Below are 26108 nucleotides of genomic sequence, written 5' to 3' on the forward strand. Positions count from 1 at the left end.
ACTCACATTACCTGTGAAGTGTTATTACATTATTTGAAATTGGACTTGGATTCCTTGTAAATGTATACTGTAAAATCTAGGGTAAACACTTTAAAAAGTTAAAAAAAGGACAACTGATATGCTACTAAGGGAGAGAAGATAGAATGATATAAAATACTCAATTAAAACCACAAAAGTCAGAAAAAGAGTAGAAGACAAAAATAACAAAGGCAACAAATAGAAAACGATAACACATATGGTAGATAGGAATCCAACTGTATCAATAACTGGTTTGGATTTCAGTGACCTAAATACACTAATTAAAAGATATTGTCAGAGTGGAATAAGAAACAAGTTTCAACCATGTGTTGTCCACAAAAAGTCCATGTAAATATAAAGGTACATATAGATTAAAAGTAAACAACTGGTGAGAGCTGTGCTAAAACTAATAAAAAGAAAGCAAAAGTAGCTATATTAATTGCAACCAGAGAAGACTTCAGACCAGAAAAAGTTATCAGGGGTGAAGAGGACCATTACATAATGATAAAGGGATTACTTCTTCAAGAAGACATAAAAATTCTTAATGTGTGTGCACCTAACAACAGAGCATCAAAATACATAGGCAAAAACGGGTAGGACTGCAGGGAGACATAGATGAATTCACTATTATATTTGGAGGCTTCAACACCCCTCTGTCAGCAATGGACAGATCCAGCAGGCGCAAAATTGGTAAGGACAAAGCTGAACTCAACAACACCATCAGGCAATTGAATATAATAGATATCTACAGACTGTTTCATCCAACAACAGCAGAATATCCATCCTTCTCAAGCTAACACAAAACATTCCCCAAGATAGACCACATTCTGGGCCATAAAACACACCACAGCAAATTTACAAGAATATGAATCATACAATGCCTGCTGTCAAACCACAATGGAATTAAACAAGAAATCCATAATAGAAAGATGAATGGAAAACCCCAAAATACTTGGAGATGAAAAAACACTTCTAAATAACATATGGGTCAAGGAAGAAATCTCAAGAGAAATTTAAAAGTAACTTAGAATTGAGTTAAAATGAAAACACAACTTATCAAAATTTGTGGGATGCAGTAAAAGCAGTGCATAGAGGGAAATTTGTAGTATTGAATGCATATGTTTGAAAAGAAGAAAAATCTAAAACCAATCAACTAAGCTTCCACCTTAGGAAACTGGAAGAAAAAGATCAAATTAAAGTAAGTAGAAGAAAAGAAATGATGGAAATTAGGATAGATTAGATTTGTTAGATTTCTCTGTCTTATTATCCTGTCTTCATGTTTTTATGTCATTTTGGGTAGTCCTCCCTTATCCATGGTTTTCCTTTGTTTGGTTTTAGTTACTTGCAGTCAACTACAGTCAGAAATTATTAAATGGAAAATTCCAGAAATGAATAGTTCATATGCTTTAAGTTGTGCACCATTCTGAGTAGTGTGATGAAATCTCATGCCACCTTCCTCTGTCCCATTGGGATGCCAATCATCCTTTTGTTCAGCATATTCACATTGTATAGTAAGTCCCCACTTAACAGTTGTTGATAGTTTCTTAGAAACTGTGACTTTAAGCAAAACAATGTGTAATGAAACCAATTTTACCATAGGCTAATTGACATAAACAAGAGTTAAGTTCCTAAGGTATATTCCTGGTCACAAAAACATCACCGAACTTCTAAATGAAACCCTAAACATTTCTAATATTAAAGATTAAAATAAATAAGAACTATATATGCATTTTAGAATGATTAATTAAAACCAGTAAGATAAGTATTTACCCAATTTTTGGTGAATCAGTGAGTGACAACAGTCATAGTAGTGGGTTAAATCAAGGAATGTTTGCAAGGTAAAAATTGTAAGGAACACCTCCTACCATCATTCAGTTCAAAAACAAACAATAACAAATATGGTGGGTTTGATGAGCACATTTGTACTGCATTGTTTCTTGTGCATTTATATAATTGTCCTATATTTTATGAATTGTTATTTTATGATAATTTGTATTCATTCATTCATTCATTTTCCAGTCTTCTTTATTCCAATTCAGGGTTGTACATGGCTGGAGCATATTCCAGCAGCTCAAAACACAAGGCAGGAACCAACCCTGGACAGGATGTCATTTCATCGCAGGGCACACTCACACACACCCCCACCCTCACTCAGACTGGGACAATGTGGTCATGCCAATTCACCTAATGTGCACATCTTTGGGATGTAGGAGGAAGCTGGAGTACCCAGAGAAAACCTATGCAGACATGGGAAGAATGTGCAAACTCCACACATAACAGTGACCCTGGCTAGGAATTGATTTTTTTTCTCATCAACATTACAACAAAATGAAATATTTGAGGGCCTGCTGGAAGTCCTAGCTAATGCAATAAGATAAGAAAATAGATTGAAAGGTTTATAGATTGGGAAGGAGTAAATAAAGCTATCTTTATTTCTATACAGTGACATGATCATCTGTATAGAAAATCTGAAATAATTAAAAAAAACCTCCTAGAACTAATAAGCAATTATAGCAGGGTTGCAGGATGTTAGGTTAGTACACAAAAGTCAGTCACTTTTCTATATACCAACAATGGCAAGTGGAATTTGAAATTTAAAAACACTGTACCATGTACACTGGGACCCCCCAGATTTATCAGCATATGTACAAAATCTATAGGAAAACTACAAAACTCTGACGAAAGAAATTGAAGAAAAGCTAAATAAATGGAGAGATATTCCGTATTGATGGATAGGTAGACTCAATATTTTCAAGATGTTAGTTCTTCCCAGAGTTATCTATAGATTCAATGCAATCTAGTAAAAATCCCAGCAAGGTATTTTATGTTTATTGACAAACTGAGTCTAAAGTTTATGTGGATGGCAAAAAAGCCAGAATAGTCAGCACTTACTGAAGGAGAAGAACAAACTTGGAGGACTGACACCACTTGACTTCAAGTCTTACTACAAAGCTGACTTATAAAAATAGTGATCAAAACAGTATGCTATTGGCAAAAGAATAGACAAATAGGTTAATGGAACAGAATAGACAGCCCAGAAATTTACCCACATAAATATAGCCCACTGATTTTTGACAAAGAAGCAGAAGCACTACAACAGAGAAAGTCTTTTCAACAAATGGTGCTTGAACAATGGGACATTCATATGCAAATAAATGAAACTAGACACAGATCTTACACCTTTAAAAAAATTAACTGAAAATGGATCACAGGCAGACTTGTATATAAAATGTACAACTAGGACACACCAAAAACCCTGTTAGAACTAATGAACAAATTCAGTGAAATTACAAGATACAAAATCAACAAGTAAAATCAGCTGTGTTTCTGTAAACTAATGATGGCTATCTGAAAAAGAAATCAAGCAAACAATAGAGTTAAAAATTACTTAGGAATAAATTTAACCAAGGGGGTAAGAGATCTGTACATTGAAAACTATGAATCATTGATGAAATAAATTAAGGAAGACATAAAGAAAGATATCTCATGTTTATGAATTGGAATAATTAATATTGTTAACATATTCCTACTACCAAAGGGATCTAAAGATTCAGTGCAATCCCTATAAAAATTTCAATGGCATCTGTTTCCACAGAAATAGAAGAAATAATCCTAAAATCTGTATGGAACCACAAAACATCCAAACAGCTAAAGTAATCTTGAGGAAAAAGAAGAAAGCTGAAGAGATTACCTGATAACAAATATACTGCAAACCTATCGTAATCAAAACAGAATGAGATCAGCGTACAAATAAACATATAGGCCAATGGTAAAGCAGAAGAGTATAGAGAACCCAGAAATAAATCCATGGATTTATGATCAATTGATCTCTGACAAAAATGCTAAAAACACACAATGGGGAAGATGCTGTCTTTAATCAATGGTGTTGGGAAAACTGGATATCCACAAGCAAATGGATGAAATTGGACCCCATCTCACACTGTGTAGAATGCTTCAATGATCATGGGAGTGCTAATATCTCTTTGAGATCCTGATTTCAATTATTTGGATAAATACACAGATGTAGGATTGCTGGATCATATGGCAGTTCTATTTTTAATTTCTTGAGTAACCTTCATACCCATCTTCATAGTGGCTGCACCATTTTACCTTTCCACCAGCAGTCACAAGCGTTCTAATTTTTCCATGTCCTTGCTAAAACTTCTTAATTTCTGTTTTTTTTTTTAACATAATGGCTATTTTAGCAGATGTGAGATAATATTTCATTGTCGTTTTGATTGGCATTTCTCTGATGATTAATGATCATGAAAAGATATGAGAATCTTTTCATATACTTGTTGACCATTTATATATATTCTCTGGAGAAATGTCTATTCTAAACTTTTGACCATTTTAAAATAAGTTGTTTTAATCTATTGTTTGGATATATTTTGGATATTAACCTATTATGAAATATATGACTTACAAATATTTTCTCCCATTTCATAGGTTACCTTGTCACTCTGTTGACTGTTTCCTTGGCTATGCAGAAGCTTTTTAGATTGATGTGGTTCCACTTGTTTATTTTTGCATTTCTTGCCTATTTTTTGGTGTCTTATCCAAGAAATTGTCACCAGAGTAATGAAGCATTTCCACAATGCTTTCCTTCTAGTAGTTTTGTGGTTTCGGATCTTATGTATAAATCTTTACCCCATTTTGAGTTGATTTTTGTGTAAGATAATGATCCAATTTTCTTCTTTTTAATGTGTATATCCAGTTTTCCCAACACCATCTGTTGGAGAGACTATTTGTTCCCCATTGTGTTTTCTCTGCACCTTTGTTAAAAATCAACTCACCATAAATGCATGGATTTCTTTGCTGTCTATTCTATTCCATTGACTAATGTATCTGTATTTATGTCAGTATTATACTGTGTTCTTTTTTTGCCATTGTAGCTTTGTAATATATTTTGAAATCAGGAAATGTGGGACCTCAAGCTTTGTTCTTTTTTTCTTAAGATAGTTTTGGCTGTTCAGGGTCCTTTGTGGTTCCATCTGAATTTTAGAATCATTTTTTTCTAATTTTTGTAAAAAGTGCCATTGTGATTTTGATAGAGATTGCATCAGGTCTGTAGATCACTTTGAGTAGTACAGACATTGTAACAATATTAAATCTTCCAATCCATTAACATAGAATGTCTTTCTATTTCTTTCTTTCTTCTTTAATTCCTTTCAGCAATGTTTTGTAGTTTTCAGTGTGTAAGTTTTTTATTTCCTTGGTTAAGCTTATGCTTAAGCTTATTCTTTAATGATGCCATTGTAAATTGGATTATTTTATTAATTTCCTTTTCAGATGATTTATTAGTGTATAAAAACACACCTGATGTTTGTATGTTACTTCTTATCCTTCAGTGTCACTAAATTTATTTATTAGTTCTAATAGTTTATTGGTGGAGCTTTTACAGTTTCCTCTATATAAGATCATGTGATCCACAAACTGCAATAATTTTACTTCTTTCTTTGAGATTTGAATGCCATTTATTTCTTTTTCTTACCAAATTGTTCTGGCTAGGACTTCCATTACTATGGTAAATGGAGTGGCAAGAGCAGGCATCCTTTTCTTCTTCTTGATGTCACAGGAAAAGTTTTAGTTTTTCACCATCGAGTATAATGTTAGCTGTGGACTTTTCATATATAGCCTTTATTATGTTGATATAATTTCCTTCTCTTCGTTGTGTATTGATTTTTTTAATGAAAGTGTGTTGAATTTTGTCAAATGCTTGTTCTGCATCTATTGAGATCATTATTTGTGATTTTTATTCTTTGTTCTGTTAATGTGGTGTATCACATTGATTGATTTTCATATGATAAACCATCTTTATATCCCAGGGGTAACTCCCACTTGAGTCATGGTTAAGATCCTTTTAATGGTCTGTTTGCTCATATATTGTTAAGAATATTTACATGTGTATTTATTAGGGATATTGACCTGTAGCTTTCTTTTCTCATAGTGTCTTTCTCTGGCCTTTGTATCAGGGTAATGCTGGCCTCATATAATGAGTTTGGAAGTGTTCCTCACTTTAAACATGTTTTATGAGTGTTTGAGAAAGATTCGCATTAATTCTTCTTTAAAGGTTTGGTAGAATTCACCAGTGAAATTATGTGGTCTTGGGCTTTTCTTTTTTGGGGGACTTTTGACTACTGATTCAATGTCTTTGTTAATTATGTCTGTTTAGATTTTCTATTTTTTCATGATTCAGTCTTGGTAGGTTGAATGTTTCTAGGAATTTCTTCTAGGTTATCCAATTTGTTGGTGCATCATTGTTGATAGTAGTCTCTTATGATCCTTTGTATTCGTCAGTTGTAATGGCTTCTCTTTTTTTTCCGGTTTTCTTTGAATCTTTTCTCTTTTTTTCTTAGTCTAGCCAAATGTTTGTCAATTTTGTTGATATTCTCAAAAAACAAATCCTTAGTTTTAATGATTTTTTTCTATTCTCTATTTAATTTATTTCTGCTGTAATCTACATTATTTCCTTCCTTCTGCTAAATTTGCACATGGTTGCTTTTTTTCTAATTTCTTTAGGTGTAGAGTTAGGTCTTCTATTTAAGATATTTTTTCTTTTTAAGTGTAGGAGTTTAACACTATAAACTTTCCTCTTAGTACTGCCTTTGCTACATCCCATAAGATTTGGTATGATATACCATATTTTGTTTTTGTTTGTCTCAAGATATTTTTTAATTTTCTTTTTAATTTTTTTCTTTGTCCTATTGGTTATTCAAAAGTGTGTTGTTTCATTTCTACATTTTTGAATTTTCAAGTTTTCCTTCTGCTGTTGATTTCTATTTTTATTCCATTGTGATCAGGAAAGATATTTGTTATAATTTTCAATTTTCTTAAATTCATTCAGACATGTTTTGTGATCTAAAATGTGATCTATTGTGGATAATATTCAGTACATTCTTGAGAGGAATGTGTATTCTGCTGCTGTTGCGTGGAATGTTCTCTATATGCCTGTTAGGTCCATTTGGTGTATAGTGTTGTTCACATTCTGTTTTCTTATCAATTTTCTTTTTAGATGTTCTATCCATTATTGAAAGTGAGCTATTGAAATTTCCTACTATTATTGTGTTGCTATCTACTTATATTTCTTCTTTCTATTTCTTTCTTGAGTTTGATGAATGTTTCTCTTGTATCTTTAGATGCTCTAATATTTGCATATATGTATGTGTATATATCCACATGTGTATATACACATATATATGTATAATTATTATGTCTTCCTGGTGAATTGATTCTTTTATCATTATATAATGTCCTTCTTTTTCGCTAGTGACAATTTTTGACTTAAAGTCAATTTGTCTGACGTAAGTATGGCCATTCTTTCCCTCTTTTGGTAGTTGTCATTTGCATATCTTTTTCCATTCTTTCACTTTCAATCTATGTGTGTCCTTAAATCTAAAGTAAGTCTTTTGTGGAAAGCATATAGTTTTGTCCCAGTAATTCTCTGCCTTTTGACTAGGGAGTTTGGTCCATTTGTATTTAAAGAAATTATTAATAAGGATAGACTTACTATTGCCATTTTGTTAATAGTTTCCTGTCTGTCTTTAGCACTTTTGTCTCTCTTTTCCTCTCTTGCTGTCTTTATTTTGCTTTTTTTGTTGTTGACATTTTGTGGTGACATATTTTTATTTTTTCTCATTTTCTTTTGTGTATCTTCATAGGTATTTTCTTTGTGTTTATTATAGGTCCTACATAAAACATCTTATAGTTATCACATCTATTTTAAGCTGATAATAAATTCAATGACATACAAAAACTTTACCCTTTTACTCTCTCCATCTTTGTTATTGGTGTCACAGATTATATATTTTATATTGTGTGCCAAAATTAAAAAGTCATTTATATTCCACTGTTATAGTATTACAGTATTCCATATTTGTTTATATATTTACCTTTACCAGCAAGCTTTATATTTTCTTATGCTTTCATGTTTAGTATTTTTCTTTTTAACTTAAAGGACTCACTTTAGCATTTCTTGTAAGGTATGTCTAGTGATGAACTCTCTCAGTGATTGTTTATCTGGGAAAACCTTTATCTCTCCTTCATTTTTTTTCTTTATTTTAATAAAGACTGGGCCTCACTATGTTGCCCCAGCTGGTCTTGAACTCCTGAGCTCAAGCAATCCTCTTGCCTCAGCCTCCCAAAGTGCTAGGATTACAGGTGCGAACCACCATGCCTGGCCCTGTCTCCTTCATGTTTGAGGGACAGTTTACCAGATATAATATTCTTGGTTGACAGTTAAAAAATATTTTAGCACTTTGAATATATCATCCCACTTCCTTCTACTTTCACAGTTTCTGCTGAGAAATCCACTGATAGTCTATAGGGGTTCCCTTACTGAGTTGCTTTTCTCTTGGTATTTTCAAAATTCTCTCTCTCTCTCTTTTTTTTTTTTTTTTTTTTACAATTTCCTTATAATGTGTCTTGGTGTGAACTTCTTTATTAATGACCCTTTTTAAAGTGCTGTGTTAAGCTTAAATTTCTGAGGCAAAATGGCCTTTTTAAAAATTCCTGGATTATCATATTCTTGGCCTCTTTTCTTGAGCTATGATTTGGTTGCCTTAGTAGAGTGTTCAAATCATGAAAGAAAGGGAATATTCTTGTAATGATTGAAGGAAACAGGCTGTTTATCTGCATGGATCCAGTGCTCCATATCAAAAATTATAATAATAGAATAATTTATAACTATAGGTAGAAAGCTGCTTCATAAAACTGTAACAAGATATTCCTAGAAAAAATGAGTTCTGGATAGCACACAAAAATCTTGTGAATAGTTATTTCATTTGGTATATATTATGTAGTATTAATCTCCAATGTATCTGTAGGTATAGAGCAAATTAGGAAAAGTAAGATGTGTTTGGACTAGGACTCAGACTGTCCACAGAGGGGAGGATGTGAATAAGTGAGAAAGGCACAAGAGAGGATCCCAGGACAAGGCAGAGTGACAGGAAGGAGCCTGTCAGTGATGGGAGTTGTTGAGATGCAAGGGAGTGTGAATGGGCATTGACTTGATGTAGGAAGCCTTTGGTGGGATGGGGTAGGAGGTAGTGTGAGTGAAATAGGAAGAAAGGAGATTACTCAGCCACTCTTAGTGAGAACCTGCAGTGGGGAGGGATGATGCTCCCTCAGGCCTGCAGGTATACAGATGTCTGGAAAATGTGCCAGAGCGTTCTGAAAATGAAGCCTCCCTGGTATCTTTGGTCTTTGCTGGGAGAGAGTAGCTAATTACTTACTCTTTTCTCTCTTGCATTGCCAGTTTTTTCTCTCTATTGCTTCTTACTCCGTATATATCCTTTTGAACATATAAACTTGCTTATTTTTCTTCTGATTTTTTACAAAAGCACTTTTCAAATCTATAATGATTCTCCTAAAAACTTCTGTCTCAACTTCTATCCTAACTCATTCATCACAATTAAGATTGTTGAAGAATGGTCTAATTTTTTTGGTAGCTCTCCTTTATCTTCTATGATTTCCTTATTCCACTGAAAATGTGCTTTTATTCTTATCACTCCAGTGAAATTGTACTTGTTACAGTAAGCAATAACATTTTAGATGAAAACCCAACAAACCTATTTCAGTTATTATACCACTTATCATATCTTCAGTATTAGACACCATTGTCCCCTCACTCTTTCCAGGTATTCTCCCTGACATTGTTCACTATTACCTTTTTGGTTGTTCTTTTTACTCTTTCCTGGATTTTTCTTCCTATATCTGTCCCTTAAATGATGATGTTCCATCTGGTTTTGTCCTGTGGTTCATCTCATCTCAAATTACACATTCTTCTTGGGAAAATTTATCTTCTCCAGGAGTTTACCTTTGATATAGCTTAGATATTTGTCTCCTCAAATCTCATGTTGAAATGTGATCCCTGATATTGGAGGTGGGGCTTAGTGGGAGATGTTTGGGTCATGAGGATTGATCCTTTATTGAATGACCTCGTGCCTTTCTTGTAATGAGTGAGTTCTTCCTCTATAATTTCATATGAGAACTAATTGTTAAAAAGAGCCTGGCATCACTTCCTTTCTGCCTTTTCTTCTCTCACCATGTGACACCATGATTCCCATTGCCTTTCACCATGAATAAAATCTTCCTGAGGCCTCACCAGAAGCCAAGAAGATGCTAGCAACATGCTTCTTCTACAGCTTGTAGAACCATGTGCCAAATAAATCTTTTCTTTATTAATAACCCAGTCAAGTGTATTCCTTTATAAAAGCACAAAACAGATTAATACAGAATATTAGTACTGGGGAGGTGAGCATTGCTATAAAGATACCTAAAAATGTGAAAACAGCTTTGGAACTGAGTAATAGGGAGACGTTGGGAGAGTTTGGAGGACTTGGAAGACAGGATGATTGGGAAAATTTGGAACTTATTAGAGACTGGTTAAATGGCTGTGAGCAAAATGCTGATAGAAATGTGGACAGTGAAGTCCAGGCTAAGTCTCAGATGGAGGTGAAGAACTTGGGAAACTAGACCAAAGATGACCTAGAAAAGAACTTGGCTGCATTGTGTCTAGGTTGCAGGGCTTTGTTGAAGGCTTTATGAAAGTTCATCATTCTAAGGCTGAATGTAAGAATGATGTCCCAGGTAAGAATGACGACCCAGGGTCTTTGGTGGAAGCAAAGCATTCAAGAAGTGTCAGGACTGCTTCCAACAGTCTATGATCAGATGTGAGAGCAAAGGAAGGACCCATAGTTGGAAATTAAAATTAAAAGGGAAGCAGAGCATAAAAATTTGGAAAATTCACAGCCTGGCCATCTGGTAGAGAAGGAAAGAATGCTTTCACTATAGGAATCCAAAGGAGTGGAATCCAAACGAGAGAAATCCAAGAAAGCTATGGAGCAACCACTTGCTAGAGACAGTAACGTGACTGAAAGGGAGCTAGGTGCTGATATTCAAGATGATGGGAAAAAAAGCTAGAGGTCTAGGAGGACAGAATGGTTTCGGGGGCCAAGCCCAGGGTACTGCTGCCCTGTGATGATTTGGGATGCTGCTCCAGCTATGGCCACAGCTCAAAGGGCCCAGGTGCTGCTTGGGATGCCACTCAGCATAGTGCAAGCTATAAGCCTTGGCAGCCTCTGTGTGGTGCTAAGTCTGCAGGCACACAGAATGCAAGGGTGACATCCCAAGATTTTCTGATTTGCAATTGCTTAAGGAAGAGAAGCTTTGTTTAAAAATGTGGGATCATCAGAAAAGAATGTTATCTCTGGCCCATGAATGTGACTCCTTTCAGGCCCCTCAGGAACAAATTTAGAACAAAGAATGATGGTCAAAGTTCAGTCTTCAGTTCCCTCTTATCTGAAATCTATATGCCAGTACATCTGTTGGTGTGGATATGGATTTTTGAAAAACAACTCAGAGCCATATGTTAGGTGTTATGTTTAGTTTCTATAGGGGAACAAAATCTAGAATCCTGTGATTCTAGATTTCTTGGCTATTATTTTAAGCTATTATTACCTTCTTGCTTATCAAGCTGCTCATTTACTTCTCATGGCTAGCCAGGTGTCTGGAATTTCCCTTGTAGTAATTAAAGATTTCCCTGTACTTCCATGCTTGGGAGGCCCCCAGACTCCTTAGGTTGTGGGGGGGTTCCCTGTTCCATCTCAGTTTTTGATCTCAGAGGCTCATAGGTGGAAGGAACTGCCCTTGAGTTTCAGATGAGACTTTAGACTTCAGACTTTTGAGTTGCTGCTGGAATGAGTTAAAATTTGGGGGTACTCTTGGTAAGGGATGATTATATTTTGCAATGTGAGAAGGACATGAGATTAGGGGGGCCAGGGACAGAATGATATAGTTGGGTATTTCCCCCCTCCAAATTTCATGTTGAAATGTGGTCCCCCAATATTGGAGGTGGGGCCTAGTGGAAGGTGTTTGGGTCATGAGGGGCAGATTCTTCATAAATGGCTTGATGCCTTCCTTATGGTAATGAATGAGTTCTCACTCTTTCATGTGAGAATTGATTGTTAAAAAGAGCCTGCCATCCCCTCCTCTCTGCCTCCCCTCCTCTTTGCCTCCCCCTCTCTCTCCATATGACATGCTGGCTCCTTTTGCCTTCCATCATGAGTAAAAGCTTCCTGAGGCTTCAGCAGAAGTCAAGCTGATGGTGGTGCCATGCTTCTTGTACAGCTTGCAGAACAATGAGCCAAATAAATCTTTTTTCTTTAAATTACCCAGTCAGGGGTATTCCTTTATAGCAGTGCAAAACAGACTAATACAACCTCTCATCTATACGTCACTTGTTCATAAATCTCTACCTCTAGCTCAGGCTTCTGCATCTACATGGACATATCTCAGTGTACATGTGCTCCAGGCAATCCAAACTTATCATATGTTAAACTACTTTAATCTTCTGTTCTTCAAATCTGTCCTCCTGTATATTCACTCTCAGTGAATGGGAGACATCTGGGTTTTTTTTTTAATTTTTAATTTTTGCCAGTCCAATAGGTGTGTAGTGTCATCAAATGATTTTAATTTGCATTTTCCTGGTGGCTAATCATGTTGAGCTTTTTCTCATGTGTTTTTTGGTTATTTATGTATTTTGCGATGCTTCTATTAACATATTTTACTTATTTTAAGCTGGGCTCTGTGGCTCACACCTGTAATCCCAGCACTTTGGGAGGATGAGGTGAGCAGATCACCTGAGGTCAGGAGTTCGAGACCAGCCTGGTCAACATGGTGATACCCCATCTCTACTAAAAATACAAAAATTAGCTGGAGGTGGTGGCAGATGCCTGTAGTCTCAGCTACTCGGGAGGCTGAGGCAGGAGAATTGCTTGAACTCAGGAGGCGGAGGTTGCAGTGAGCTGAGATCATGCCACTGCACTCCAGCCTGGGCAACAGAGCTAGACTCCATCTCAAAAAAACAAAAACAAAAGCATGTTTTACCTTTTATTGGGTTGTTTATCTATGACTGAGTTGTAAGTGCTCTTTATATATTCTGGCTGCAAGTTCTTTGTTATAAATACATATTGTGAATATTTTCTTCCACTGTCAGGCTTTCCTTTTTATTTTCTTAGTTATATCTTTTGAAGAGCAGAATATTTTTATTTTGATGAAGTCCACAATTTATCATTTTTTCTTTTATAGCTCATGCCTTTTGTGTCCCATCTAAGAAATCTTTTCCTTCTTCATTGTTGCAAAAATAATGTCCTTGTTTTGGTCTGTAAGTTTTATAGCTTTAGTTGTCATGTGTAAGTCTTTGGTACATGTCTAGTTAATATTTGTGTCAGCTGTGAGATAAAGGTTAAAGTACATTTTTCCCCCAAAATGAATACCCGGTGTTCTAGCACCACTTACTGAAAATAACATTGTTTTCCCATTTAATTACTTTGGCAACTTGGTAAAAAAATCAACTGACCACATATGTGTGGATCTATGTCTAAATTCTTTGTGATTCTTTATATCACTGATCAGTGTGTCTGTCTTTTTGCCAACAATCCATACTGTCTTCATTACTGTTACATTATATTAAATCTTGAAATTAAATGGTGTAAATCCTCTAACTTTGTTTTTTTTTTTGTAATTGCTTTGTCTATTATAGATTCTTTACATTTCAATTAATAACTAGAATTAGTTTGTCAATTTCTACGAAAAAAAGCCTGCTGGGATTTTAATTGGACCTAATTTAAATTTAATGTAATTTTAATTTGATTTAAATCTGCATATTAATTTCAGGATAATTGACATCTTCATGACTGTATCTTCCAATTCATGAGCATGGTACACGTCTTCATTTGTTCATGTCTTTTAAAAATTCTTTCAGCAATGTTTTGTAGTTTTAAGTATGTAGGCATTGTGCAAATTTTGTAAAGTTCAACCTTAAGCATTTCACACATTTTGTGATTTTTCAAATAGTACTATTTTAAGAGTTTGTTTTTCAATAGTTTGTTGCTAGTTCTGCCTTATTATTACTAAGAAGGGACAAACTCTTGTGAGTAATAACATTGTTCTACCTTGGATTAAAATTAATAGTGAATGTCTTCTGTTCTACCCTATGTGTGATTTCCCATAGTCTCCTTTTTATTCTCCACATGTAGGCACAGGTACTGATATATAATATGCACTCAATAATTTTTTTTTGAATAAAGGTATCACTTTCAAAATCAAACTGATTTTGTTTTAGGTTTCAAAAGACCATTAAAAAGCACTCAGAATGTAAAACTCTGGGGATTCTCATAGCTTGAGCTACATCTGTAAAGCAGAGTGAAGTGATGTGACAATTATTTGACTGATTTTTTAAATGTGGACATTTTTCTACACTTGATTGACATTCAAATTATCCAGTGTTCATCTTAACAAAGTAAGTGTCAAATCACATCCTCATTTATGTTATCTCAGCAGAAAAGCCTAAGAACAGAGAAAAAAGATAGGTAACTACAAATTTCAAAGCAACATTATTGTGCTCAGATGTACAGTGTAGGCAGCTGACGCAGCTCAAGGCCATTAGAGCATTCACAGAGTAATGGAATCTCTGGGTCACAGGCAAATAGAAAAAGAGACAATCCAAGAATCAGAGGGATAGTTGAATCAGATGAAAGCAGATTCCTCTCTGATCTTGAGTTTCCATGGCAGTTGGACCAGATTATAGATTTATCTTATCTTATTTTATTTTTTTAAAACCACATTATCTAGAGAGAGAAGGAATTTATTACCTTTGTGTCTTAGTCTATTTATGCTGTTATAACAAAATGCCTGACACTGGTAATTTATAAATGTGAGAAATGTATTTCTCACATTTCTGGAGGCTGGAAAGTTCAAGATCAAGACACTGACAAGTTTAGTGTCTGGTGAGGAACTGGACTCTCTGATTCCAAGGTGCAGCATCCTCTGGAAGGTATAAATGATGTGTCCTCACGTGGCAGAAGGGCTGGAAAGGGCAAAAGGAGCTAAATTCTGTGTGAAGAATCCCATTCATGAGAGAGGAACCCCCATGACCTAATCACCCCTTAAAGGCCACAACTCTTAATATTATTGCATTAGAGATTACTTTTTTTTTTTTTTTTTTGAGATGGAGTTTCACTTTTGTTGCCCAGGCTGGAGTGCAATGGCATGATCTCAGCTCACTGCAACCTCTGCCTCCCAGGTTCAAGTGATTTTCCTGCCTCAGCCTCCCGAGTAGCTGGGATTACAGGCATGTGCCACCACATTTAAACATGAATTTTGGAGAGGACACAAACTTCAAACCATATCACCTGGCGAGTATCATCATCTATTTTTGAGGCTTGAAACTGGAAGCCCCAAGCTACGTCCAGCCCTTAACATCCCCCACAACGTGTTCTATTTGGTCTATACAGTGTTTTAAATTTTTTTTTTAAAATCTATATTTTATGATAGGAACTTACGAATGCAAAGAAGGAAACAACAGATACTGGGGTCTACTTGAGGGGGGAAGGTGTGAGGAGGGAAAGGAACAGAAAAGATAACTATTGGGTACTGAGCTTAATAAGTGGGTGATGTGATAATATGTGCAGTAAACCCCAGTGACACGTGTTTATCTGTGTAACAAGCCTTCACATGTACCCCCAAACCTAAAATAAAAATTTTAAAAATCTATAAATAAAGATTAATACTTAAACATTAATTATACTGATTTTAAAACCAGGCTTTTTGTAGGAAAACCAGGATTTCTGGGTTGTCTTAGAAACAAGAAGTTGTATAAGCCCTTGGCCTTGGTTCTGAGATGGCAGCAACTGGCTGGGACTGAGGAGTCCCAGGCTTCTCTTTTGCCTGCCTTCTCTAGTTTCTCATAGTCTCCACTGTCCTTACCCAGGCTCTCTTTACTAGTGCATTTTACTCGCTTGGCTCCTGGAGGCATATGACTTTGTAAGATCTGATATTTGGGGATTCAAACCGAGAACTTGCCTGTTATCCATGGCCTCTCCCTTTCCTTGATTCTCTGCCTCCCATCCCTCATTCCCATCATCACAATGATTCTACCTCTTTAATGTCTCTTGAACCTGTCACCTCCTCTCAATCATCATATTCACTGCCTTGGTGCAGGCCTTCAATGCTTCTCAGATGAATTACTGCAACAGGCTCACTATGTTCCATGGTGTGGTAACGTTTATAAGAAGAGAGAAGCAAGGAAGGACAGACATGGGAAGGAAGAAGTTTTTCTGTCCAAAAAGCAATGGCAATATTTCTGGAGTAACACAGGGCAGGAGTGCATTTCACTTAGAACCATCCTTTCATTCCTGGCACTCGGACCTAGGCTTGGAGAGTGGGTCATTACTGGATGGAAAATCAAAGGAAGGTTCTAAATGAGGCTTGCACTTTATTTTTATCCTCTTTCTGGATTTCAGTGTTGGTTCTATTTTACCTGTTTATTCTTATCATGCTGTTTGTCACAGGAAAGTTTATAATTTAGGTAATAAAACCTTTCAAATCATTTAAATGAATATGTGTGAAAAATGAGGGTCAGACCTGTTAGCCCAAGATCTCTAATGACCGCCTGCTGGAGGTGCTGCCTGGTCGAAAGCATCTGCACTTGGAAAGTCCTCATTTGTAACATCAATGATAATTGTCTGTAGAATGTCTGAGCCAAGATGGCCTATGAAGCAAGAGAGAGACCTCAAACGTATTAACTGTTTCACACGCTTGAAAACAGACAATTTGTCTTTGACTTGTGAGAAAACCCCCAGCTATTACCGTGCCCATCAGCTTATGTAGAATGGGAAGGTCTAGCGCTACCTGCTTATAAACCCCAGCCAAAGGATTGAGGCCTCCGTCTGATAAGGCTTCATGTGCTTGTCAAATAAAAACGAATTCAGGCCGGGCGTGGTGGCTCATGCCTGTAGTCCCGGCATTGTGGGAGGCTGAGGCAAGAGGACTGCTTGAGCCCAGGAGTTCGGGCTGCAGTGAACTGTGTTTACACCACTGAGATCCAGGCTATGTGAGACAGCGAGACCCTGTCTCAATTAAAAAAAAAAAAAAAAAAGAATTTAGAAGCTGAGAACATAAATGGGCTTGCCTTTCTGTGCATATGTGTGCAAATGTTTGTGTGCATCTGAGTGTGTGTATGTCTGTGTGTGTGATGGGAATAAGGGATAAGATTATTTCCCCCCTCTTATTTAGTTAATGCCAGAAAAGTAAGAGAAAAATTGACTATGCCCGAATTATTTTTTACCTTTTATCTGGAGTATCTGCAATTGAAATACTTGAATGGGACATTCGTCTATATAACCATAGCTTATAGCAGTGGCTTTCCTACAAGAGTGCATTGACATTGACTGGGACACCTGTTAGATAAATGGGCAGATTCTTCAGCCCATGCCCAGGGGCTCTGATGCTGAGACCTGGAGGGGCCCCAGGGTTATGCACTGTGACAGGTCCCCCATATGATTCTCATGCAGTCGAACCATTAGATAGTACTTAGGAAAGGATTGTCTGCAGGAAGAAAACACACAAATGGATGTGGCCTCGACTAATGGCTTAATCTCAGGACCTTAGATCACGTGGCTAAATTGATTGTCCTGAGTGTAACTTTAAAAGTCACACATACAGGCCACACGTGGTGGCTCACACCTGTAATCCCAGCACTTTGGGAGGCTGAGGTGGGTGGATCACCTGAGGTCAGGAGTTTGAGACCAGCCTGACCAACATAGAGAAACCCCATCTCCACTGAAAATACAGTGTTAGCCGGGCATGGTGGTGCATGCCTGTAATCCCAGCTACTCGGGAGGCTGAGGCAGGACAATAGCTTGAACCTGGGAGGCAGAGGTTGCAGTGAGCTGAGATCGTGCCATTGCACTTCAGCCTGGGCAACAAGAGTGAAACTCTGTCACACACACACAAAAAACTCACACATACAGATACACATGCATCATACATGTACACTCCCCTAAATACATCTCATATCATACCCTCTACACCTCACATACCACACCCCAAATACACACCACACACACACACAGCCCACACATGCACACACCACACATGTACACACACACATGCTAAACCACACACATATCACACCATACACAAAGGGACACACACCATACACACACATCACACATACTCACCACATACACATCACACATACACTTACCCCACACATGCACATGCCACACATGCACACACACCACACTCATACACACATACACATCCTCCCCCCACTACACCACATATGTACCATTCCACACACATGCCATACTATGCATATACACATGGATGTGAGCCTTCCTTTTCATTTAAAATACAGGGAAAACACTGCTCTCTATCAAGCAGTGGTATTTTAGAGAGCAGAGGTCTTTTCCTCCAAGTCCGCTCTTGAAGTTCTTAAAAAGAAAGTGCAAGTCCCAGGAATGAGCTCATCTCTGTGTCCTTCCCAGAAGCCGCTTATTCATTGCTGCAGGACAGACTTTACTGTTATTATAATGAAAAGACAAGACAGACTACTCTAAATATCAGTTTAAAATGTTTCTTTTTAAAAACATTCCCACATGTACACGATCTTTTACTTGTTTCATGTTTACTCTGTTTTGGGTTAAGAAATCTGAATGATGTGATGTGTCGTGAGAATAGAAGTGAACAGGATGAAATCGCGTGAACAGGACAATGGGGGGGTGGTGGTGGAGCCCTCCGCTTTGGGGCTCTGAGGCTTCGGATTGGAACCATCTGGTCCCTGGTCCTAGCTCTGCTACTTGTGGCCTTGGCTAAGGTAGTAACCTCTCCAAGCCTCCTCTACAAAGGGATCATCATCGTAGTACCTCACTCATGGAATTCTAAGGATTAAAATGGAAAGTGCTTACAATAGGGTGAGAAACATACTAAAGACTCTGTAAATGTTTGTTTCTGTTAATAAGCAGAATTATGCCTGGACGTGCTTAAGCTCCCAGACTTTTTCTACACTGCCCTCAGTTATCAATCTCCATTCTGACTACTTCTCAGTGACCAAGAGAAGAGAGGAAAGAGCTGGGAGAATAAGGCTGTGGGGAGGATGAGGCAGAGGGGATATGGGAGGATGAAGAAGCATTCTGGTGCGAGTGCATTGGGATCACTGAGTGTAGCCTGGTCCTCTCTCCTTCCCACCGCAGGACCTGATGATAGATCCCTGATAATTATGGTCTTTCTGGATGGGCCAGGTGGGCAATTTTATTCTTTGTAATCTTCAAAGGTACAAATGAATCAGTTTTATGACTTCTGCTTTACATCAAAATAAATTTCAGATGTCTCAAACATTGAGCAGCTTTGAACGTAACTTGTTTTCTTTTCCTGCATTCAGGAGCCATAAAGTCTAGCCAGGATAAGGCCTCAGACCCAGTTCTTTACAGCAGATATTGTGAAATAGTGACCAGTGCTTGGAACTCGGCCCACACATGGCTCATATAGTATGTTTTAAAGTTTTGAATTGGCTTCCATCATTTAAGAATAAGAGATCTTCCATAAAAATTGAGATTTTCGGCCTGGCGCAGTGGCTCATGCCTGTAATCCCAGCACTTTGGGAGGCCGAGGTGGACAGATCACCTGAGGTCAGGAGTTCAAGACCAGCCTGGCCAACATGGCGAAACCCCATCTCTACTAAAGATACAAAAAATTAGCTGGGCATGGCGACGCATGCCTGTAATCCCAGCTACTTGGGAGGCTGGGGCAGGAGAATTGCTTGAACCTGGGAGGCGGAGGTTGCAGTGAGCCGAGATGGTGCCACTGCACTCCAGCCTGGCTGACAGGGTGAGACTTGATCTCAAAAAAATAAAATAAAATAAAATATTAAAAAAAATTGAGATTTCCAGCTTATTTTGGGAATAAGAACTGGCTTCTGCCCAGGCGTTTGGATGCACAGATGGAGGCCGGATCGCAGGGGCCCTGGGAGGGGCATGGCTCCAGCAGCTCCTGCCCTCTGGTCCACGTGGCTTGCTGGACACATGCTAATCTACTTGGAGCCTTGCATTCTATTGCTGGCTCTAAAAGCTTTATGAAGTGACTGATCTAGAAGGACCATAAAATCTAGAGAAAGGACTTAATCTCTTTGGACTTAATCTCTTTGGACTCAGTTTACTCATTTATAAAATGAGCAAGGACCCTTGCAGTTCTAAAAATCTGCGTTTAGCTATGAACACTGCATTTAGCATGGGGCTGACATGTCAATGTCTAGCTTCACTATTAACCCTCATTTCCCTTCTGCTTCCCTGCCTTCATCTGCATGGACCAGACTACCACTCAGCCCTGAGAGGTCCAGAGCCAGCAAGGATAGGAGAAGCCGCCGTTGAACCCCAATGGTGGTCTCCACTTCACGCTCACTTCATAGTATTTTGGTTGTAGTATTTGATACTAAACTTATTTTTTTGTGCCTGGGAAAGAGTGGGTTCTCAGTAAATATCTATGGAGTCAGTAGATTAATTGGTAGCCAGGTTGGCTTTCCTACTTGCTGGGGCAAATCAGGGAGTGAGGGGCTACTGTTGTCAAGGTTAGATTTTCTCCCATACACCAAAAACCCCCACAATTATTGCACAGCAGATACTTAACAAAGTATAATGAACAAGCACGGATGAGATTGTTTCTCAGTAAGCTGAACTGCCAAACGAGTGAGAAAATGTAGTTTAAGACTGGGGTTCTCTGAAAAAAATACCTCTGCCCTCTCTAAAAGTTAAACTATAGTTTTGGTAGTTTGTGTGGTGCAAATGAAACATTTTATATATGTAAGAAGCAATGGAGCCAGCAAGGATAGGAGAAGCCTCTGTGCAGAGACAGCTGTGGTGGAAGAGTGACTCGAATGTTTAAGTATTATCAAGACTGCTGTGGTAGAAGAATGACATGAATTTTTAATTATTATAGCTTGTTCCTCTGTGAACTAAATGATGGATTCTAAGTGCATGGAAATGAGATACAAACCTGACCCTTAAACAACAGCCAATGGAATAGTGATAAATTTAAATGCCTCTTTTGTCCACTCATATTCATTTTCTTATGCAAATAATACTCGTAGAAAACAGAATAATAAAACAAACACATACCCACTACCTAGATGCATGTCCATAATAAATATTGGCATATTTTCCATGTTCAAGGGAACAAATTGTTCAGATTGTAAAGCCTATTTTGCTCTCTTCCTCCGTGTTACTTCCCTATCTCTGCCTTCAGAGTGAGCCAGCTTTTAGAACAGTGTAGGTCTTCTCATTCATATTTTTACATTTTGTTCCGTCCATTTGAGTTCATAAAATATACAAGATTGTGTTATGTGTTTTTAAAATCACATTTAATGATATCAGATTGTAAGTGTTCTAGGACATTATTATGTTTTTGAGATTTATCCATGTTAATACAATTATTTCTATTTTAATCATTTAAATTGCTTTCTAGAATGATTAAGCCACAATTTGTGATTTATTACCTTACTATGAACATCTAGGTGATTTCTTTTAGAAACAATGCTGTAGTAAATATCCCTGAAGAATTGCTCAGGAAATACACCTACCTTGGGTGACCAGGGTGTTGATGTATGGGCACTTTCTGTCACCCAGGCTGGAAGTGCAGTGGTGTGAACATGGCTAACTGCAGTCTCAAATGCCTGGCCTCAAGTGATCGTCCTGCCCCAGCCTCCGGAGTAGTTGGGACTACAGGTGTGAGCCATCATGCCCAACTACTTTTTAATTGTATTTGTTATTGACAAATTGCTCTATGAAGGAGTTGTACCAGCTTACGCTCTCAGCAGTAGTATTGAAATTTCCATTTTTCACATCTTCTCCAAAACTTGCCAGATATTAAAATTGTCACCCATATGATGGGTATGAAATGACACCTCATTGTTATTTTGCTTTGTACTAACCTTATAGCAAGTGAGATGAACATATTTCTATGTATTTATTGATCATTTGGGATTCTATTTCTCTGAAGTATGCATATTCTCTGGCCATTTTCTATCCTAATCTTTTTCTTTTTTGACACAGACTAATTAAGTTTTATTGTCTGAAAATACTCATAAAATACCTCATCTCCAAAATAATTCAAATACATAATTAATTGAATATTTTTAAAATGACAGTTTTCAAAAAGTAAAATTAAACACATTTTAGTAAATATATATATGTTTTATTTGTCAAGAGTAAATGTCAGTTTTACTTAGAATATTCAAGTACAAAAAATGAAAATTTATATATCTATGACTGTTAAGAAATGTTAGAAATCATTAAAATGTTCTGAGAATACTAGTAAGGCACTGAATGCAAATACCACCTGAAATATGAATTATGTGCATTTTTATATCTTTAATATTCAGATGTTCATAGTTATTTTCTTAAAAAGTATTTTTAATAAAATGATTCAACCTTATTATTTTTCCCCTGGAAGACAGAGTTTAAACAAGTATGTAATGAAAAGTTTTCCTAAGGAAAGCTGTGATACACTCATGCTCAAAGGTACTTTATCCTTAGGAAAAAAGAGTTTCTATGTCTGGATGTTTTAACTTTTAAAGATATTTTGTTTCATCACAGTAATACATCAGCCATAATAAGGCATAATAAAGCATGAAGTCATCATATTAAATAATCTGACACAAAAGCTTAAGATCGTATCACCAATTGGGTAACTATCAAAAATTTTTAAGTTCTATAAAACTATTAAGAGGTTAGAGTTTTAGCTCTATAATACATCCCAAAACATATTCCCTCAAATTTTTATTATATATAAAAAAGGTTCATCTTGGATATAAATGTAATCAGTTAGCCACGATATTAATGGGTTCTTTATTTTCAGTGGCACTGACACTTTGCTCTTTGGTATAATGCACTGCAGTGACAATAGCTTGGTAGCAAGAGAAAAGATTTAGATCCATCACAAAACAGCAACTTAAAAATTTCTAACAACAGTGAATATATACGAATATATAGGTACAAGCTGAGTATCCCTTATCCAAAATGCTAGGGACCAGAAGTGTTTTGGATTTCAGGTTCTGGAATATCTGTGTATACACAATGGGACCCGACTCTAATTGCATAATTCATGTTTCACATCCACCTTATACATATAGCCTGAAAGTAATTTATACAACATTTTTAATAATTTTGTGCGAGAAACAAAATCTGTTTAAACTGAACCATCAGAAAGCAAAGGTGTCAGGTGGGGAATTTTCCACTTGTGGGGTCAAGTCATTGTTCAAAAAGATTCAGATTTTGAAGCTTCTGGATTTCAGATTTTTGAATTAGAGATGCTCAACTTGTAGTATCATTCACTCTGGCTTACGTATTGACCTCATACTTGAAAGTACTTTTCCATAAATATCAGTAACTGTGGCCGTTCACCAAATATAGAAGTGATAAAACAAACAAAAACAGCAAAATCAAAGCACACTTCTAGTTTTGTTTTTGTTTTTGTTTTTAATAAATTTTGCTTGTGATGATGACCTTCTGTGCTCTGGAACTTCTGTTTTACAAAAAATTGGAGTTCTTATGGTCCTTGTCCTTACTCAGGTTGCTGCCTGTTGCCAGAAAGGACTGGCTGTGAAATATCTCGGAGGTAGCTTTCTTTTTAGAGAAAGCAATTATTTCTTCTTCCAAAAGTCTTCTTTGTTCTTCAAGCTTCATTCTCTCTTCTTGGTGAAGTCTCTTAAGGTGCTCAAATTTGGCCTGTAGCTTTCTCTCAGCTTCTTTCAATATGGCTTCTTTCTCCTTCACTGGCTGCACAAACATCTGTTTCATTTCTTCTTCCTTCCTCTGACGTTCACCATGGAACTCATGTCTTTTGGCTTCATAGGTCTCTTGAAGACTGACCGGCTTGTTTTCTGGGCCCACATCTGTAAAGCCCATTTCCTCCAGTTTGCAGCGCCTGTAAAGCTCATAGTGCCTGGTATGGGTCTGCTATCGCAGGTCCTCCATATTTGTACAAATGAACATTTCCCGCAGCTTTACAAAGTCACAGTGGTTTTCATTTTCCACCTGTACAACACCCCAAGGGTACTGGCGAGCTTTAACCATCTTGTTTCCGACTTTTATCTCATCCATACTTCCCACAACAGCAAACGGCAACTGTCCATTCATTGCAGCGTTGACCTTAGCAATAGTGTCATCATCCGTTGGAAACTGGTATATCTGGACGCCATTGCTGACCAGTTCACTCATGAACTTGATCTTAAACTTATGTAATTCAGTTTTAGAAACCGTATCTGCTTTGGCAATCACTGGTATAATGTTTACCTTGCTGTCAAGGTTCTTCATGGTTAAGAGATCAAGTGTCTTCAGAGAGTGGCCTGTCAGTGAAATGAAGTAGAGGCACACACGGATGCGAGAATCAGGGTAGGTAAAGAGAGAACGTTTAATCTTCAGTTATTCTTGGAGACAGGCCTCAAACTGAGCATCTATGTAGTCAACTATCGGTTGGTAGCTCTCTTCTTTATTTATTTGGTCACCAAATCCCACTGTATTCACAATGATCAATTTCAATCGAACATTACTTTCCTGGAGTTCATATGTCTGAACTTTAAGTTTAACATTTGGGCAAAAATGTGAGGATTCATAGTCTTCCAAATTAGTATTAAACAATGTGTCAATCAGTGTTGATTTTCCAATTCCAGTTTCCCCCACACAGAATATTAAAGCAGAAACCTTGCTGAATGGATCTGTTCACCAGCTGATCAGGCAAATTCTCAAAACCAACATGGCCAGACACAGTCAAGGAACGAATGTTTTCTCTTTTTCTCTGTTCATCATCAGATCCTTGTGAAGACATACAAGTTGTTTTCGTTGCCATGTGAGACTGAAAGAGCAGGTGCCGCGCCACCTCGGAGCCATGGTCGCGGGCGGGGGCACGGTGAAGCGGCTGTATCAGCCCGGCCCGGAGCTGCTGGTCCCGGCTACGGCGGCGGGAAGGCCGGAGGGCTGCAGTCCCTAATCCTTTTTAAATTCAATATGTTGCAAATAACTGCTCTTAGTCTAAGATTTTTATTAAATTAATTTTCAAATCATGAAATAAGTAAAATTTATTAATCCTTTTCTTATGTTTTTTGATTTTTGTGTCTGAAGAAATCCTGCCCACACCTTATATTGGTTAGGATGGCTACTATCAAAAAAACCTTAAAATAATGAGTGTTAGCAAGGATGTGGTGAAATTGGAATCCTGGTGCACTATTGATGAAAATGTAGAATGGTGCAGCTGCTGTGGAAAATAGTACGGAGCCTCCTCAAAAATTAAACATAGGATTACCATATAATCCAGCAACTCACTTCCAAGTGTATATCCAAAAGAATTGAAAACAAGATCGCAAGGATAAATTTGCACATTCATGTTCATAACAGACATATCACGATAGTCAAGAGGTAGAAACAACCCAGATATCCTTCAGTGAATGACTAGATAAACAAAATGTGGCAGAAATATAAAATGAAATAATTTTCAACCTTAAAAAGGAGGGAAAGCCTTTCACATGTTACAAGATGGATGAACTTTGAGAACATTACACTAAGTGAAATAAGACAATGACGAAAAGACAAATTCTGTATGATTCCACTTACATGAAGCATGTAAAGTAGTCAGATTTAGACAGAAATAGAATGGTGGTTGTCAGCAACTGAGGGGAGACAGAAATGGGGAGTTGTTATTTAATGGGTATAAGATTTCAGTTTTGAAGATAAAAAGTTCTGGAGAGCTGTTGCACAACAATCTCAATATACTATATACAATTGGACTCTACACTTAAAAATGGTTAAGATGGGCTGGGTGCTGAGGCTCATGCCTATAATCCCAATGCTTTGGGAGGCTGAAATGGGAGGATCACTTGAGGCCAGGAGTTTGAGACCAGCTTGGGCTAAATAGGGAGACCTGGTCTCTACAAAAATAAAAATAAAAATAATTAGCTTGGCATAGTGGCCCATGCCTTTAGTCCCAGTTACTCAGAAGGCTGAGGTAAGAGGATTGCTTGAGCACAGGTGATAAGGTTTGGCTCTGTGTCCCCACCCAAATCTCATGTCAAATTGTAATTCCCAGTGTTGGTAGGTGATTGAATCATGGGAGTGGACTTCCCCTTGCTGTTCTTGTGATAGAGTTCTCACTAGATCTGGTTGTTTGAAAGTATGTAGCACCTCCCACTGCTCTCTCTCTCCTGCTGGCCATGTGAAGACTGTGTGCTTCCCCTTTGCCTCCCACCACGATTGTAAGTTTCC

At 37.2% G+C, this 26108-nt stretch overlaps 1 long non-coding RNA gene and 1 pseudogene across 1 annotated transcript in view; one reads left to right on the forward strand and one right to left on the reverse strand.

The window, feature by feature from the left end:
* The window catches only part of PENK-AS1 (PENK antisense RNA 1), a 106261-nt gene that overhangs the window by 7639 nt on the left and 72514 nt on the right, over positions 1–26108 (forward strand). The gene's annotated exons all lie outside the window — the stretch shown is intronic.
* Positions 23185–24833, reverse strand: SEPTIN10P1 (septin 10 pseudogene 1; annotated as a pseudogene).

The sequence above is a fragment of the Homo sapiens genome, chromosome 8, assembly GCF_000001405.40.
Source record: "Homo sapiens chromosome 8, GRCh38.p14 Primary Assembly".
Classification (NCBI taxonomy): Eukaryota; Metazoa; Chordata; class Mammalia; order Primates; family Hominidae; genus Homo; species Homo sapiens.